Source organism: Homo sapiens, chromosome 15, assembly GCF_000001405.40.
Source record: "Homo sapiens chromosome 15, GRCh38.p14 Primary Assembly".
NCBI classification, from domain to species: domain Eukaryota; kingdom Metazoa; phylum Chordata; class Mammalia; order Primates; family Hominidae; genus Homo; species Homo sapiens.
In genome coordinates this window covers 22,003,913-22,022,013 of record NC_000015.10, presented here as the reverse complement: position 1 = coordinate 22,022,013, position 18,101 = coordinate 22,003,913, and the positions used below count along the sequence as shown (strand labels likewise).

At 36.3% G+C, this 18,101-nt stretch overlaps 1 long non-coding RNA gene and 1 pseudogene across 2 annotated transcripts in view; one reads left to right on the top strand and one right to left on the bottom strand.

Annotated features, from left to right (window-relative positions):
• The window catches only part of OR4M2-OT1 (OR4M2 overlapping transcript 1), a 105,539-nt gene that overhangs the window by 73,605 nt on the left and 13,833 nt on the right, over window positions 1–18,101 (bottom strand). Inside the window, exon 1 of one of the 2 annotated variants that reach the window (NR_110481.2) lies at window positions 6,683–6,753. The exons of the other annotated variant lie outside the window; for it this stretch is intronic. This is a non-coding gene — a long non-coding RNA (OR4M2 overlapping transcript 1). Of the gene's footprint in view, window positions 1–6,682; window positions 6,754–18,101 lie in introns of those variants that run through there. 2 annotated transcript variants of the gene reach the window in all.
• OR11H3P (olfactory receptor family 11 subfamily H member 3 pseudogene) lies at window positions 11,519–12,465 on the top strand (annotated as a pseudogene).

Below are 18,101 nucleotides of genomic sequence, written 5' to 3'. Positions count from 1 at the left end.
CTAAATCTAGAGGAAATTGATCAATTTCTGGAAACAACCTCCCAAGATTGAATCTGGGAGAAATTAAAACCCTAAAAGACCAATATTAAGGTCCAAAATAGAAGCAGCAATAAAAATCTACCAACCAAAAAAGTCCTAGACCAGATGGTTTCACAGCCAAATTCTACCATGCATACAAAGAAGAGCTAGTATCAACTCTACTTAAACTATTCCCAAAAATGAGGAGAATGGACTCCCCCCTAACTCATTCTATGAAGCCAGCATCTCTTTGATACCAAAACCTGGCAAGTGAAAGTTTATAGCTACAAGTGCCTACACCAAAAAAGTAGAAAAATTTCAAATAACCTAGTGATGTATCTTTAAAAACTAAAAAAGCAAAAGCAAACAAACCCAAATTATTAGAAGAAAATAAATAATAAAGATCAGAGTAGTAATAAATGAAATGGAAACAAAGCATACAATACAGAAGATCAACAAAGTGAAAAGTTTGTTTTTTGAAAAGATGAACAAAATCAACAAAACTTTACCTAAGAGAAAAAGTGAAAAGACCCAAATAAATAAAATTAAGACATAAAACCAATACTGCAGAAATTAAAAGGATCACTTGCAACCATATGCCAATAAACCGGAAAATCCAGATAAAATAGATAAGTTCTTAGATACATACAACCTATGAGGTTTGAGCCATGAAGAAATCCAAAACCTGAACAAACCAATAACAAGTAATGAGATCAAAGCCCTAATAAAAAGTCTCCCAGCGAAGAAAATCCCAGGACATGGTGGCTTCTCTGCTGAATTTTACCAAATATTATAGAGGAATTAATACCAACACTATTCAAACTATTCCAAAAAATATAGGAACACAGAATACATCCAAATTCATTCTATTAGGCCAGTATTACTCTGATATAAAACCAGAAAGAGACATATCAACAAAAGAAAACTACAGACCAATATCCCTGATGAACACTGCTGCAAAAATCCTCAACAAAATACTAACAAACTAAATCCAACAGCACATTAAAAATTTAATTCACCATGATCGATTGAGTTTTATTCTAGAAATGCTAGGATGATTCAACATATGCAAATCAATAAATGTGATTCATCACATAAAGTTAAAAACAAAAACCATAGGATCATTTCAATTGATGTTGAAAAGAATCATAAAATAGGAGAAAATATTTGTAAACTATCCATCTGGCAAGGGATTAATAACCAGAATATATAAGGAACTCAAACAACTCTATAGGAAAATTCTGATCATCCAATTTAAAAATGGGCAAAAGATCTTGCTCAGAAGAAGACACATAAATGGCAAACAGGCATGTGAAAAAGTGCTCAGCATCATTGCTCATCAGGGAAATGCAAACCAAAACTGCAAGACGAATCATCTAACCCTAGTTAAAATGGCTTATATCCAAAAGACAGGCAGTAAGAAATAGTGGCTAGGATATGGAGAAAAGGGAACCCACTATTGGTGGGAATGTAAATTAGTACAATCACTATGGAGAACAGTTTGGAGGTTTCTCAAAAAAAACAAAAATAGAGCTACCATATGACCCAGCAATGCCATTGGTAGGTATATACACAAAAGAAAGGAAATCAGGATATCTGAGAGATACCTGCACTCCCATGCATATTGCAGCACTATTCACAATAGTCATGATTGGAAGCAACCTGTTTGTCCATGAACAGATGAATAAAGAAAATGTGGTTAATGTACACAATCGAGTAATATACAGCCATGAAAAAGAATGAGATCCTGTTATTTGCAACAACATGGATAGAACTGGAGGTTATTACGTTAAATAAAATAAGCCAGGGACAGAAAGACAAATTTTCCATGTTCTCACTTATTTGTGGGAGCTAAAACTTAAAATAACTGGATTTATGGAGATAGAGAATACAGTAATGGTTACCAGAGACTAGGAAGAATAGTAGGGTTAAGGGGAGGAATGGATAATCGGCATAAAAATACAGTTAGATAGAATAAGTAAGATCTAGTATTTGATAGAACAACAAGGTGACTATAGCCAAACAATTTATAGTACATTTAAAAATAACTAAAAGAGCATAATTGCATTGTTTGTAACACAAAGAAAGGGTAAATGTTTGAAGTGATGAATATCCCATTTACCGCGATGTAATTATTATACACCGTATGCCTGTAGAAAAATATCTCATGTACCCCATAAACATATACAGTCACTGTGTACCCATAAAAATTTAAAAAGGAAAATATAAAATAAACAACCTGATATTACAACTCTAGTAACTAATAAAAAAAGAACAAACTAAACCCAAAGTCAGCAGAAGGAAAGAAATAACAAGGATCTGAATAGAAATAAACAAAATAGAGACTAAAACTACAATAGAAAAGAACTCAATGTAATAAAGAGTGTTTTTTCAGAAGGATAAACAAATCAACAAACCTTTAGCCAGACCAAGGAAAAAAAAGAAAGGACTCAAATATTAATACAATCAAAAGTGAAAAGGGAGACATTACAACTGATACCATAGAAATATAAAAGCTCATAAGAAAAAAAAGCTCATAAGAGAGTACTATGAAAAATTGTACAGTAACAAATTGAATAAAGTATAAGAAATAAATAAATTCCAAGATACATGCAAGATACCAAGACTGAATCATGAAGAAAAAGTATGAACAGACCAAAAATGAGTAAGAAGATTGAATTGTAATAAAGTCTCCCATCAAAGAGAAGCCCAGAATAGCTTTACTGTTGTATTCTACCAAACACTGAAATAATTAGCAATCCTTAAACTCTTCCAAAAAAAATCTAAGAGGAAGGAATACTTCACTTCCAAACTTTTTTTACGTGGCCAACATTACTCTGACACCAAGGCCAGACAAGAACAAGAAAAAGAAAAGAAAAGAAAAGAAAAATTATAGGCCAATATCCCTGATGAACATAGATGAAAGAATCCTCAATCAAATACTAGCACACTGAATTCAACAGCACGTTAAAAAGGTAACTTACCATGCTCAAGTGGATTTACCCCAAGGATACAAGGTGGATCAACATACATACATCTATAAATGTGATATACATTAACAAAATGAAGCCCAAAATTATATAATCATCTAATTAGATGCAGAAATAGCATTTGAAAAATTCAACATTGTTTCATGAAAAGATTCTCAACAGAGTTGGTTTAGAAGAAATATACTTCAACATAATAAAGACCATGTATTACAAGCCTACAGCTCACATTATATTCAACGCACCCTCCAAATCTCAGGCTGAATTGTGATCCCCAGTGTCAGAGGGGGTGCCTGGTGGGAGGTGTCTGTGTTATGGAGGTGAATCCCTCATGGGATGGTGATGGTATCCAACCCAACCCTCAGGAATGGGTTTGCATTTTACCCATAGTAGAGTTACCATCAGATCTGATGGTTAAAAAGAGTATGGGACAACCCCCTCCCCACCTAGCTCCCTTTCTTGCCATGTGACACAACTGCTCCCTCTTTGCTTTCTTCAATGAGTAGAAGTTTCCTTAGGCTTCAGAAGCTAAGCAGATGCTGATGCCATGCTTGTACTGACTGCAGGACCATGAGCCAAATAAACCTCTTTTCTTTATAAATTACTCAGTCTCAGGTATTCCTTTATAGCAACGTAAAATGGACTAACACAAATGTTATTGGTGATTTATGCAATGGCCATTTTAAGGGTGTGGTGGGGGGAAGCCATATTTAAATATATTGGAGGTGAGAAAGACATGAGGAAAAGATGAAGATTCCTTACTGTCTCTCAAGTATGGCAGGCATGCTCCTGCCTTGTGGTCCCTATACATGTCATCTCCTTTGCCTGGAATGCTCTTTTCCCAGATATTTATATTTCTTTCCCTAACACTCCCTTCAAATCTTTGACCAAATATCACCTTTTCGGTGAGGCCTTTCCTGACTAGCTATTGAAAATTCCACTCAGGGGAATTGAGAGATATTGGTCAAAAGGTACAATGTTTCAGCTAAACAGAATGAATAAGTTTTGGAGATCTACTGTACAGCATAGTGACTGTAGTTAACAGTCATGTGTTATACCATTGTCCCTAAATATCTGCAATATCAGGGGGGCGATTCGTTCCAGGACTCCCCAAGGACACCAAAATCCTGGGATGTTCAAGTCCCTTATATAAAATGATATCATTTTATATTTGCATGTAACCTACGCATATTTTTCCATACACTTTAAATCATCTATAGATTACTTATAATACTAATAAAATATAAATGTTTTATAAGTAGTTGTTATACTGCATTTTTTTATTTTTATTGCTTTTACTGTATTTTTTGTGGGTTTTTTGTACTAATAGTTTCTATCCAGTTGGTTGAATGCCTGAATGTGGAACTCATGGAAACATAGGGCCAAAAGTATACTTGAAATTTTTAGAAGAGATTTTAAATGTTCTCACACAATAAAATGAAAGTATGTAGAAGTGATAAATGTTAATTAGTTTGAATTAATCATTTCACCATGTATACATATCAAAAAATCATCTTGTATGCCACAAATGCATAGTTTTTTAATAAAAAATATCCAATCACCTATTATAAGGCAAGCGCATATTGAACAAGTGCCAAGTGAGCCTCATATACTGGATAATGATTCCATGGAAAGTAGCCTTGCTTAACTGGGAAAAGACCCAAGTGACAGAGTAGCTCCCTATGGAAAATCGTAACTGGTTTAAATGACAGCTTAAACTCCAGAATGTCTCACCAAACAGTCAAATGCTAGTTCTGTGAATTGTTTTTTCTTCTCATGTGAATCTATATACTGTTTTTGTCAATTACATCTTAGTAAGGCTGGGGGTAAAATGCACCTCTGCCAGCTCCCACACACACTCCCTATTGACCTGACGTTTCTAATTTTTCTCCACGTTTCCTCATCACTCCCTAATATACTATAGTTTACTTATTTATTTAACACCTGTTGTCTCCCTTTGGAATATAAGTTCCACATAGGAATTTTTGTACATTTTGTTCACTGCTATGTGCATGAGCATTTAGAGTAGTCCCTGGAACATTCACAATCAATTATTATTATTGAATTAACTAATCAGTTTTTAATATTAAAATATAAATATAAATAATATAAACATGTATAGTAAATTTTACACTTAATTACAAACATTATGAATATAAGTGTGATGAAAGGAAAAATTTTAAATGTTAAATGGTTATGTTGTATTCTCATGCATATGTATGTTTTCTCAAATTTTTCTATAATAAACTTGTAGTTACTCTTGTAAAATATCAAAAGTGAGCATTTGTTAAAATAAACTCATGTAAATAAATTTCATGCTTTCTGAAATGGCCATTTCAGAGATGTAGCGTAGGTGAAGAAGAGATGAGGACTCCCTGCCGTCTCAATCATGCCAGGCGTGCTCCTGCTTCGTGGCACCTACACATGCCATCTCCTCTGCCTGGAACCCTCTTTCCCCAGATGTTTATATTTGTTGCCTCCACACTTCCTTCAAGTCTTTATCCAAATATCACCTTTATGAGATTTCTGAATTTTTTATTCATCTATAACATACAAAAAGTACAGTGCACAAATCCTAAGTATATTGCTCAATGAATTGTTATCAACTGATACTCCTGTGTAAAGGTACCTAGTTCCAGAAACTGAATGTTATCAGCATCCCAAAATCCCAACCTTTTCATTGAGGCTTTCCCTAACTACCTATTGAAAATTGTGCCCAGGGGATATGGGGAGACATTTGTCAAAGGGTACAATGTTTCAGCTAAAAGGGATGAATAAGTTCTGGATATCTACTGTACACCATTAACCTTAAGAGAGATCTCAAAAAGGAAAAGAACTCACAAAAAAAAATTGCTGTAAAGGATACACATGAAAGGCACAGAAGGGAAGTGGAGGGAGTGCAGAGAACTGTGGGCTGAGTCTGAGCCTCAAGGCTTTTTCAGCATAAAATGCCACAAAGACTGTTGATAAGCAAGCCTGTCCCCCATTTACTAAACTTAGGCAATTAAAATTTTATCACTACCCAATGTATCAAAATTTTATCACTACCCAACACTGATTTAAGGACTCAACACTCTGACTTGAGAAAACCTGAAGTACAAAAAGTTACCACAAAGGTGGGTGAGACTCTCTAAGGAGCTCAAATATATGTCTTCAATGTGTTCTAATTGCAAATTACTTACAATTTGGCACAACATATTGGGAGAGGAGTAGTGGAGTGGTAAAAATCAAACCTAACTTCAAAATATTGTAAATTATGGCTCTAAGATCATTCTTAATGACCCAATATGTGCAGTGAGGCTCTTCTCTTCCTCCTCCATGTTACAGTTGAGAACACGAAAGACTAAGCCATTCACATTACCCCAGGGAAGGCAGAGGGAAAGGGCAGTCCAGGTGTCCTGAACTGTACTGCTCGCAGGGGAGGCCTGGCCCACCACTAAGTCTGGATACTTCCAAACCTATCCTTACATGAAAACAATATCTGCGGACCATTTCATTCCAATTGGTTTTGGGTCCTAGTTTCTGCCCAGTGGTCAAATCCAGAAACCCAATCAGGACCTAGTTTCAATGAGTGGCTCTGAGCTTAGCTAATTAATGGCTTCCTGTCCCAAGAAAGGTTTCTTGTTTTTGTTTGTTTAATTAATTGTTTGCTATTGCACTAAAATACTTTGCCTTACCTGACAATAGTGAGCTCAGGATTATCTTGGCACATTTGGTTATGTGGTTTGAGCCCTCCCAGAGTGTTACTGTCTACTAGTTACCCATTAAAGTTTAATAAGGCAGAAGACAATGAGCTTGCTAGAGATGTCACAGAGCCTTTGTTGCCATGGCAATAATTGTTGGACCAGATCACAGAGAAGTATGTAAGAGACAAGAAAGAGAGAACTGCAGGAAAAGCTGAAGCATAATAGTTTTTTAAAATAGTCTCTAAACTTATAGTGGAGTAATGTGTTTAAACTTGTGGGGAAAACTACTTTATGAGAAAGGCTGATTTTCCAACATCCTCTTAAGGAGATATGGTTTTGGTTTTATGGAAGAATGGTTTCTAAGCTACATTTCTTCTTCTTTTTTTTTTTTTTTTTTTGAGACGGAGTCTTGCACTGTCACCCAGGCTGGAGTGCAGTGGCGCGACTTCGGCTCATTGCAACCTCCACCACCTCCCAGGTTCAAACGATTCTCCTTGCCTCAGAATCCCAAGTAGCTGGGATTACAGGTGCCTGCCACGATGCCTGGCTGTTTTTTTTTTTTCTATTTTTAGTAGAGACAGGGTTTCACTATGTTGGCCAGGCTGGTCTTGAACTCCTGACCTCATGATCCACCCGCCTTGGCCTCCCAAAGTGCTGGGATTACAGGTGTGAGCCACTGTGCTCTGCCTACATTTCATCTTAAAGTAAAAGTAAACGAATTGGGATTAATTTGGAAGCACACTGACTATTATAATACCAAGAACTTCATATGAAGGCAGATAGCCATTAAAATGGCAGAAATTCAACAAGATTTTTAATAGATGATTGGGTCAGTGAGAAATAGTTTTGATGTGCAATATGAAACCCCAAATATTCCAGGGGCTCCTGCAAAGTGTAAACTTGGAGTTTCCTTGACTTAGAAGTGAAAGAACAGCAGGATTGGAGGAGGGTGAAAGAAAGAACCTAGTGATCTAGGTAATGTCACTTTGGATAACATTTGCTCTAAATTGCTCCCAGCATCAGAGTAGAGCTTGGGAGGAGTGAGTCTGTATTTCAAAGCCCAGGGTTTCAGTCAGTGTGAATGAGACAGTGAGGATTATCCTGCCCTCTTGTGCTTCTGAGCCAACATGCCAGGGCTTGAAGAGGAGCGGAAGGAAATGAAGAAGTCACAGAATGTCTGACTGAAGAAGCAAAGTGCAGAAACACATCGCCTCCCTCCCTCCCTATAGAAGTCAAACTCCCCGGAGACTGCTCATCACTATCAGCATGGGATGGCAGTATATTTACTTAATTAGCTAAAAGTGAATAGAGCTTAAAGTTCAGCCCTTAGGTGGGATTTTGCCGACATAGACTTCCTAGGACTTTTGTCCTATCAGAGTGGCCTGTTGTACTGTGAGCTTCTTGTGTCAAAGGTTAATTAATCTTGTCTATCCAGAGTCTAATGTTCAAATGCATGTTCATTTAATCAGGCTGTTTATAAAGTATAGTGGTTTAGTGACAAGATTATTTAAGAAAAAGTCCCCAAAAATATACTGTTGACCAGAGTAAATTAAAGGTGTAAACATTTAATAATGCCTAGAAGCCCTAATCAGAATAGATATAATTTTTACCATTCTAATCTTTTGAAAGAAACATCACAACTAGAAATGAAAAAGGTCATGTTACCACTGACCCCACAGAAATAAAAAATAACCATCAGAAACTACTACAACCACCTCTATGCACACAAACTAGAAAACCTGTAAGAGATGGGTAAATTCCTGGACACACCAATAACCTGCTCCAAAATTGCATCAGTAATAAATAGCCTACCAACCAAAATATATATATATTTTAAAAAGCTCAGGACTAGATGGATTCACAGCCAAATTCTACCAGATATGCAAAGAAGAGCCAGTACCATTTTTGCTGAAATGATTCCAAAAAACTGAGAACTGTCCAACTCATTCTATGAGGCCAGCATCATCCTGATACCAAAACCTGGTAGAGACACAACAACAAGAAAAAACTTCAAGCCAATATCATGGATGAACATTGATATAGGGCAGCTTATGATTAGTATCATGACAAAGACACAAAGATGGTAAAATAAAAATTCAAGGATGGGGCCAGGCATGGTAGCTCACACCTGTAATCCCAGCACTTTGGGAGGCCGAGGCAAGTGGATCACAAGGTCAAGAGATAGAGACCATCCTGGCCAACATTGTGAAACCCTGTCTCCACTAAAAATACAAAAATTAGCTGGGCATGGTGGCGCGCACCTGTAGTCCCAGCTACTCAGGAGGCTGAAGCAGGAGAATTGTTTGAACCCAGGAGGCGGAGGTTGCAGTGAGCTGAGATCACACCACTGCATTCCAGCCTGGGGACAGAACGAGACTATGTCTCAAAAAAGAAAAAATGCAAGGATGGAAAAGGTGCTTTGCTTAGGGGAAGAGGGGAAAACATTCTGGGGGGAAAAATGTCTTTTGAACTGGATCTTGAAGGAGGGTTTTTACAGGTGTAGGTGGAGATAAATAGAATTCCAAACACAGAAAATGATCACAAAAAAGAGAACATAGGAAACTGAACCTATTCAGAGAATGAAATGCTGTCTACTGTCTAATTTATCTGTAAAAGAGAGTAGGGAAAGATAACACCAGGAAAGTAATTTGAAGTCAATTTGTGGAGAACTTGGGAACTTGAAATCATTGATGGCTTTTGGAGCAGACAACAAGATCAAAGCTATGTTTTAGGAGTTTCTAAGTATTATGATTAAGTGATAATAAAGGTCTGAATAAACATTTTCCTCCATAGTCTTTCAAAGTGGAAGTGTGCTTTTAGACAGATGTCTGTAGTCCTAGGGCATACATCCCTGATGTCCTCAACTACTTCACAGCACTTGGTATGAGCATTCACTCACACATGAGTGTTTAGCTACACTATATTGGCCCCTAAATGCCATAAAGTAAAAATAGAAGGGACACAAATAAAAGTCAATACTTCTCTCATGTTAATTGGGAAGTCACATGTTCCTCTCAAGTATTTCTGTCAATTAACTTAAACGTTGCTACTTCTTATACTTTTTTCTCATATCTAAAGGAATCTGCCAAAAAAGTGCCATCCTTCTAAAAGTTATTTCTAAATTCTGTAAGTTTTTGCTCAATATGTGACAATGTTGGAACATCAGTATTTTCCTCACTGGGCTGTATATCCTCCAACATATATGCACAGTAACACTTGAAATGTTCCTAAACATTATGTCAGAACTTTTGGTAACATTTTGTATCTTATTTCTCCTCAGACTGTGTCTTCTGGAAGATTTTTTGGAATCCGTCTGGTGGGCAAGCTCTTTGTAAATAATGATGTCTTAGAATAGTTGTCATTACTCTTTACTGATTCTTCAGAGAATATCTAATCATTAACTTTTTAAAGATTCATTGGCTTGGAAGATAACTTTCCTAATGCTATAGAAGCTACATCCCAGGAGAAAGTGAGTTTTATAAAGTGCATTTTTAATTTTGGGGCCACAATAAAACTGTCTAGGTGGAGGCAGAATATGGTTTATAAAATAAATCATTTAGAGATTTGGTTCATGTCAAAACGATGATGGCTTCACCTTTTGAGCACTGCTGAGAATCATGACACTCCCATGTCAATCCGTTTCCATAATTTCCTAATGTTGGTTTATTAATGTTTCTGGTTGGAAGCCAATTAAAGAGGCATCTATTACTAAAAGAGGCACAAACATAACTTCTAACTAGTCATACCAAAAGAATTCCTAGAGCACTGGTGTAGAGATCAAATTGGAAGAAAAACTTCTGAAAATTTGTGTTTCTTCTCAAAATGCAAGCCCTCTTGACGTCTAGAACTCACATCCCTCCATATTTCTGAGGAAAAAAAAGTTTTTTCAGGTAACTCAAATCCCTAAATATATTTTTAGAAGAATGTAGGAGGAAGTTTACCTATAACAAAAAAAAGTGTTTAATTTCTGTCATTTAGTAAAATTTTTCAATTTTATAAAAAGCATATAAGGAAAATCAATCTCCAAATTTTATGAAATACCTTCAAAAATAAAGTTTAATGTCTAGATCTTTGCAAACTTTTGTACATAATGACTAAATCAATACTGTATTGATTTTATCAATATAATAATCACTGTATCAGTTTATGAAATTAAGGTAAAAGATTAATCAGAAACTTAAAGCCTTCCCTTTCTACAGAAAACAATGCAGCTTTACAATATTAATATTAAAAGTCAATATTGGTAAGCAACATTAGATAATCACTTAAGCTAACAACAGCAGCAATAGAAATTCAGAGATAATGGCTTTAACGTGATAGCTACCAATTTATTTTAAAATATGTGCATTTCTTTTGCATATGTAAATAATGTTAAGTAATATGTTTAGCTGAAATGTAAATGGTCAAAACTTTCCTTGCTGAGTCTATTGCACTATAAGTTGGGTTTGCAGTAAGAAACTAACACATTTGTGCCTTCTCAAAGTACTAACTTTGGGTTGTATGCTATCCAGAAACTATATTAAATCATTTCTGTCCCAAAATAATGACCTTACAAAAGGAATTTAACTTTACCTAGTTCTATCACGATTGCATATTAAGGAGAGATTTAGAAGCTGGCAGAAGTTTTTGTTCAATCAGCTACCTACTAAGCCCAAAACTCATATACTGTATAGCCAAGAAAAAGTAAACTATATTCTCTTCCTAATTATTCTTTTGAAAAATGACTTCATGTTCATTGTCTTCTCTTCATTCTTAAAAAAGGAACTCATTTTGTAAAACAGTCCTGACTGATAATGTGTCTCTTGACCTTGCAGGTCACTGGCCCAATGAATGTCTCTGAGCCAAATTCCAGCTTTGCTTTAGTAAATGAATTTATACTCCAAGATTTATCTTTTGAGTGGACAATTCAGATCTTCCTCTTCTCACTCTTCACTACAACATATGCACTGACCATAACAGGAAATGGAGCCATTGCTTGCGCCCTGTGGTGTGACCGGCGACGTCACACTCCCATGTACATGTTCCTGGGAAATTTCTCCTTTTTAGAGATATGGTATGTCTCTTCTACAGTTCCCAAGATGTTGGTCAACTTCCTTTCAGAGAAAAAAACCATCTCCTTTGCTGGATGTTTTCTCCAATTTTATTTCTTCTTCTCTTTGGGTACATCTGAATGCTTGATTTTGACTGTGATGGCCTTTGATCAGTACCTTGTTATCTGCCATCCCTTGCACTATCCTAATAAATCATGACTGGGCATCTCTGTGCCAAACTGGTCATACTGTGCTGGGTTTGTGGATTTCTGTGTTTCCTGATCCCCACTGTTCTCATCTCTCAGATGCCCTTCTGTGGTCCAAACATTAATGACCATGTTGTGTGTGACCCAGGGCCACTATTTGCATTGGCTTGTGTCTCTGCCCCAAGAATCCAACTGTTTTGCTACACTCTAAGCTCATTAGTTATTTTTGGTAACTTCCTCTTTATTATTGGATCCTATACTCTTGTCCTGAAAGCTGTGTTGGGTATGCCTTCGAGCACTGGGAAACATAAAGCCTTCTCTACCTGTGGGTCTCATTTGGCTGTGGTATCACTGTTCTATGGCTCTCTTATGGTCATGTGTGTGAGTCCAGGACTTGGACACTCTATGGGGATGCAGAAAATCAAAACTTTGTTCTATGCTATGGTGACCCCACTCTTCAATCCCCTTATCTATAGCCTCCAGAATAAGGAGATAAAGGCAGCCCTGAGGAAAGTTCTGGGGAGTTCCAACATAATCTAAGCCATATTAGATTATTCCTCCATGATCAGATCAGTACAGTCTAACAAAGAGAAATCAGAATTATATAGTTATTTAAATCTAAAAAATATGGATCTAGTAATATTGACTATATCAGCCTATGAAATTAAACACCTGTTGGGCCCCTTACAAATTAAAGTTGCCAAATTATATAGATAAATGGAAGCGTGTGGCTTCCCTTTGGCACCTAGACTGAGTATTAACTGAGGAATGTACATATTTGGGTGTTTTCTGGATAGTTTCCATCTGATTCATCTGTGATAAAAATTCTTTAAGTTCTATTTGACTTAAATTTATTGTTCTGACATTGACAAAATTACAGCTATGTTATTTTGTTTGGTTGGTTGTAAATAAAAGAAGAAAAAACATATTTTCTGATTGTGATTCCTATCATATTTGGCTTTATTATTTGGTGACATGGTCATTTCTAATAAATAAGCCCTTATAAGCAATTTATCAACATTTTTGTGGGACAATAAAATATTCTAGCCTAAGGACATCCAAACATTACTTCCTTCTGAGCCCCTAAAGGGCAGATTCTAATTCCATCTATAGTAATATCAGTCAAAATATTCACAAATGCATTCTTCTAAATGCCTAATATTTTTACCTAAATAAGGTATCACCAAAAACGTGATGGGTCAATTTATTGAGTTTTAGATAATAGAATATCTCCCCCTAAAAATTGGACAGGGCAATGGTGTACTTGTGGATACACTGCTTAAGTTCAAAAAATAAAATCAATGGCAGTTCATTGTCATTTGTTGCTAAAAGAATGTGAAAATAACATGAAGGAAAATTTTTAAAGGAAAAAAGCATTTATAGTTCAATTGCTCTAATGTATCTATTTTTGTTAATATGTCTGTTTCATGTGATTTAATGTTGAACTTGCTCCCATTTATAGCAAGTTTTCATAATTATCATTCTTAGAAAGCATAATATTTTATTGAACTAACATGCCATGAATTGTGAATTTTTATGTGGGGAGATGAACATTGTCCTAGACGAAGGGCCTTCTTTCCAAGAAGCTAAGAGCTGACTAGTAAAAGGGAATTTTCAGAAGGGATATTAGGAGAAAAATGAACGCCTCTACTACACAAGAATGACTTCTCACAGAATTTGTACTGTGGCATTCTGGGGTAAGGTTACTGAACACTCCAACACCTTCCTTCCTTCTACCACCAATTTTTTTGATGAACATTACAGTTATCCCATTTTTTGTTATAAAATAATATCTCAATAAAATCTCCATAAAGATTTGCCTTGATAATATTTTGCAAACCTGAATTAGGACTCATCATCTAATCTGAAACAGACTGTCCCAGAAAATACAGAATATAAGAATATGATGTATGTGCAACAATTTTCCTTTCAGATTTTTTGTCTTATAACAGTTTATTGGGAAAGAGATCATTATTCAGTTCAAAAGGTAGGAATGCATTTGTGAATTGGGGCCTGGACATTCCAGGTAGAACAATTATTTGCTCCTTGGATGTAAGACAGTATCAAGCTTTTAGTCAATCTTATTAGAACTCTGCCATATCTCTCACTTGTATAGCCGCTGAGGATCTTTCCTGTTTCCATACTCCTTTCCAGGGTATATGACTTTTAAGTTACCTGAGTTCTGATCAGCAAATGGACTCAGGAAGAACAGGTAGTCAAGGCAGGCAATATTTCCACCACAGTTTCAGAACTCCCTACTTTGTGGTACTAAGTTAATACATTTGTGCAGCCACTACCTTTTCAAAGGTTTCTTCTTACAACCTCAAATACTATGACTGGTTCACAACCTTTTCCATAGTGCTAAATTATTTGACCAAACACCGCATATATACCATATTTTTTCAAAGCCAAACTGTATCCCAAAGAGAGAGAAGGAGAGAGAAAGAATAGCAGTAAAAATACAGTGTTATTTCAGGTTGATATTTAAAAACAATTGTGCTGGTTAATGGTTTCCTCGGGGGAAATGACAATTGAAAGTCGGTATTTTCTACTTTCAAATACAAGTCATGGTGTTTATTCGCTGCCTTTACAACTGAATAGATGGAATTCGCTGAACAAACTTTGATTCTACCCTCAATTACAACTAATTCCCTCACAAAGCAAAATTTATTTCACAACTAAACATTATGTACATTCAAGATTACTAGAAAACTTAGGACATAAGGTGCAAGTGCGACAATATTAGGAGAAAAGAAAGAGTGTGTATCAGTTTAACAGGTTTTCACATGCAAATTCACCACCACAGGGTTCACTGTCTTGGCAACATTGAAAATAATAATAATTAACGTTTTAAGACACCTATTTTGTGTCAGGCAATGTTCCAAGTCTTTCCTATGTATTATTTTATTTCCTACTTATGAAACCCAAAGAAATTGGGTTGGTATTATTGTATCTCTAATTTTTGAAGAGTGAAACAGGCAGAAAAGGTAACTTGCCTAGTTGGAGATGGCATCTGATCTCAGGCAGGCTAACAATGGAGCCCACAGTTTTTACTACTATTAGGGGAAAAGACCAACACTATCGAATGAAATAGATTGGATCAAATCTAAGTCACTGATTGTGTGAGCTTATGCAAATTATTTGACCTTTCTGCCTAGATTTGTTTAGACTATAAAATAGAACTAATGATAATACTTTTGTCAGACAGTGGATTTGATGATTAAATGCGGTAAATCAAGGTAGGATCTTACACATAGTATTTATGGAATCTATTTCAGTTAATATTATTAATGTCTTTCATTTGTAGGGCTCTTCAGCATTTCCCAAACACTTTTATATAGTTGTTCAGTTCATCCTCACAAATTCTGTCATCACACAGTTAAGGTAGACATTCCCATACTCATTTCACTGATGAGATTCAAAGAAATCAAGTATACTGTCCAAGGTCACCCATAGTAAGTGAAGGAACCAGTTCTTCTGACTTCAAGTTCAGTAAGAATTCTGCTGTACCATACATCCTATTCTGGGAAATGTGGCTAAGTCCTGTGTAGCTAACTTCAGAACTACATGGCCATGCAAGCCAAAGAGCTGGATTTACCCCAGAAATGAATACTGTAGAGAAGAAATGAGTGAAGTAGAAGAACTAAGGGATTTCTTTCCAGTAGTTTTAAGGTAATAACTAGTCAAATTATACAAATATTTATGTAAAACGTATTTCACGTGCAAAATATGTCACTGAGTGAAAATGGCAGATCATGAAACAATAGTATTATATAATCTTACACAAACATGAAGTCATGGGATTATGGGTAATTAAGATTCGTTGTTTCCTCTTTTATGCTAATATCTTTATTTCCTAATTTTTCCATGACAAATATGCATTTTTTGTTCAATTTACAAACAACATGGAGTTAACAAAAAATTAGTGTTTACAAATGGATGCATAATTTAAAGCAATGCTTTTAGACACACCACTTACCCACACTTCCCCTCCACTTTGTGTGTAAGGGAAAGGATAATGCTACTGTCTTTGGTAAGCTTTTACCATGTCTTTACAGAGCTTCTCAAGTACTTTTCCATGTGGGGTCACTTTGTGGAGAGGAGTTAATTTGGCACCCTAGTCCTTCTATTTCACTCAGAACCAGCTTTTTCTGCAAAGGAAAGAGTGGTCCTTGATAGCAAACCCTGGCCTTGTGGTTTTCATTCTAGATGCTTAGAGCAACAACAACAACAAAAACAAAAGACAGAGACAGAGACAGAGAGAATGGAGGAACATGTCATACAATCAAATGAACCTTCCCAATCAAGAACTTTACCTGGGAACCTCCCATCTACACTTGTACACATCTCTCCCCCCAAGCTCCCTGCTTACTACTAATACAAGAACCAACTTTAATTAAAAGAGGGTTTGAATTGTTATGTTTTTGATACCTACCTTTTTTTTTATTATACTTTGTTTTAGGGTACATGTGCACAACCTGCAGGTGTGTTCCATATGTATACATGTGCCATGTTGGTGTGCTGCACCCATTAACTTGTCATTTAGCATTAGGTATATCTCCTAATGCTATCCCTCCCCCCTCCCCCCACCCCACAACAGGCCCCGGTGTGTGATGTTCCCCTTCCTGTGTCCATGTGTTCTCATTGTTCAATTCCCACCTATGAGTGAGAACATGCGGTGTTTGGTTTTTTGTCCTTGCGATAGTTTGCTGAGAATGATGGTTTCCAGCTTCATCCATGTCTCTACAAAGGACATGAACTCATCATTTTTTATGGCTGCATAGTATTCCATGGTGTATATGTGCCACAAGAACTCAAACAAATTTACAAGAAAAAAACTAACAACCCCATCAAAAAGTGGGCAAAGGATATGAACAGACACTTCTCAAAAGAAGACATTTATGCAGCCAAAAGAAACATGAAAACATGCTCATCATCACTGGCCATCAGAGAAATGCAAATCAAAACCACAATGAGATACCATCTCACACCAGTTAGAATGGCGATCATTAAAAAGTCAGGAAACAACAGGTGCTGGAGAGGATATGGAGAAATAGGAACACTTTTACACTGTTGGTGGGACTGTAAACTAGTTCAACCATTGTGGAAGTCAGTGTGGCGATTCCTCAGGGATCTAGAACTAGAAATACCATTTGACCCGCCATCCCATTACCGGGTATATACCCAAAGGACTATAAATCATGCTGCTATAAAGACACACACACACGTATGTTTATTGCGGCATTATTCACAATAGCAAAGACTTGGAACCAACCCAAATGTCCAACAATGATAGACTGGATTAAGAAAATATGGCACATATACACCATGGAATACTATGCAGCCATAAAAAATGATGACTTGATGTCCTTTGTAGGGACATGGATGAAATTGGAAATCATCATTCTCAGTAAACTATTGCAAGAATAAAAAACCAAACACCACATATTTTCACTCATAGGTGAGAACAATGAGAACAAATGGACACAGGAAGGGGAACATCACACTCGGGGGACTGTTGTGGGTTGGGGGAGCGGGGAGGGATAGCATTGGGAGATATACCTAATGCTAGATGACGAGTTAGTGGGTGCAGCGCACCAGCATGGCACATGTATACATATGTAACTAACCTGCACATTGTGCACATGTACCCTAAAACTTAAAAGTACTGTAATAATAAATAAATAAATAAATAAATACGCCAAAAAAATAAAATAAAATAAATGCTTGGAACAAGAGATGAGAAAACTATTTTAATGTCTCCAAAGGCAAACTTATGTCATTGTTATTGCAAGAACAGAACAGAAGCAGAAAAAATATTCAAAAGGGCTTCAGTCAAGTCAAACAAAATATGAATTAGAGTATGGGGACTTTTCTCTCTTTGGGAGATTAAATTACCAAAACCCAGTTCTGGCTTTGATTTTTTGACTTCCTTCCCAAAAGTTTCCCATTGGCCTGTGTCCTCTGGAAAACAAGATCCGACCATTCAGATAAACATCCATCTTTCCTCTTCTCCCTCTATTCCGTAATCCCAACTTCAGTAGGAAGGTCATGTTCCTTCAGCAAGACTGTGGGTCCCTCTTCAATTATACTGCCATAAAGAGAGCACTGGGATGGGGAGGTAGAAATGGAGAGATGATGGGGTGCTCTTACTGCAAGGAAAAAAACTCTCCT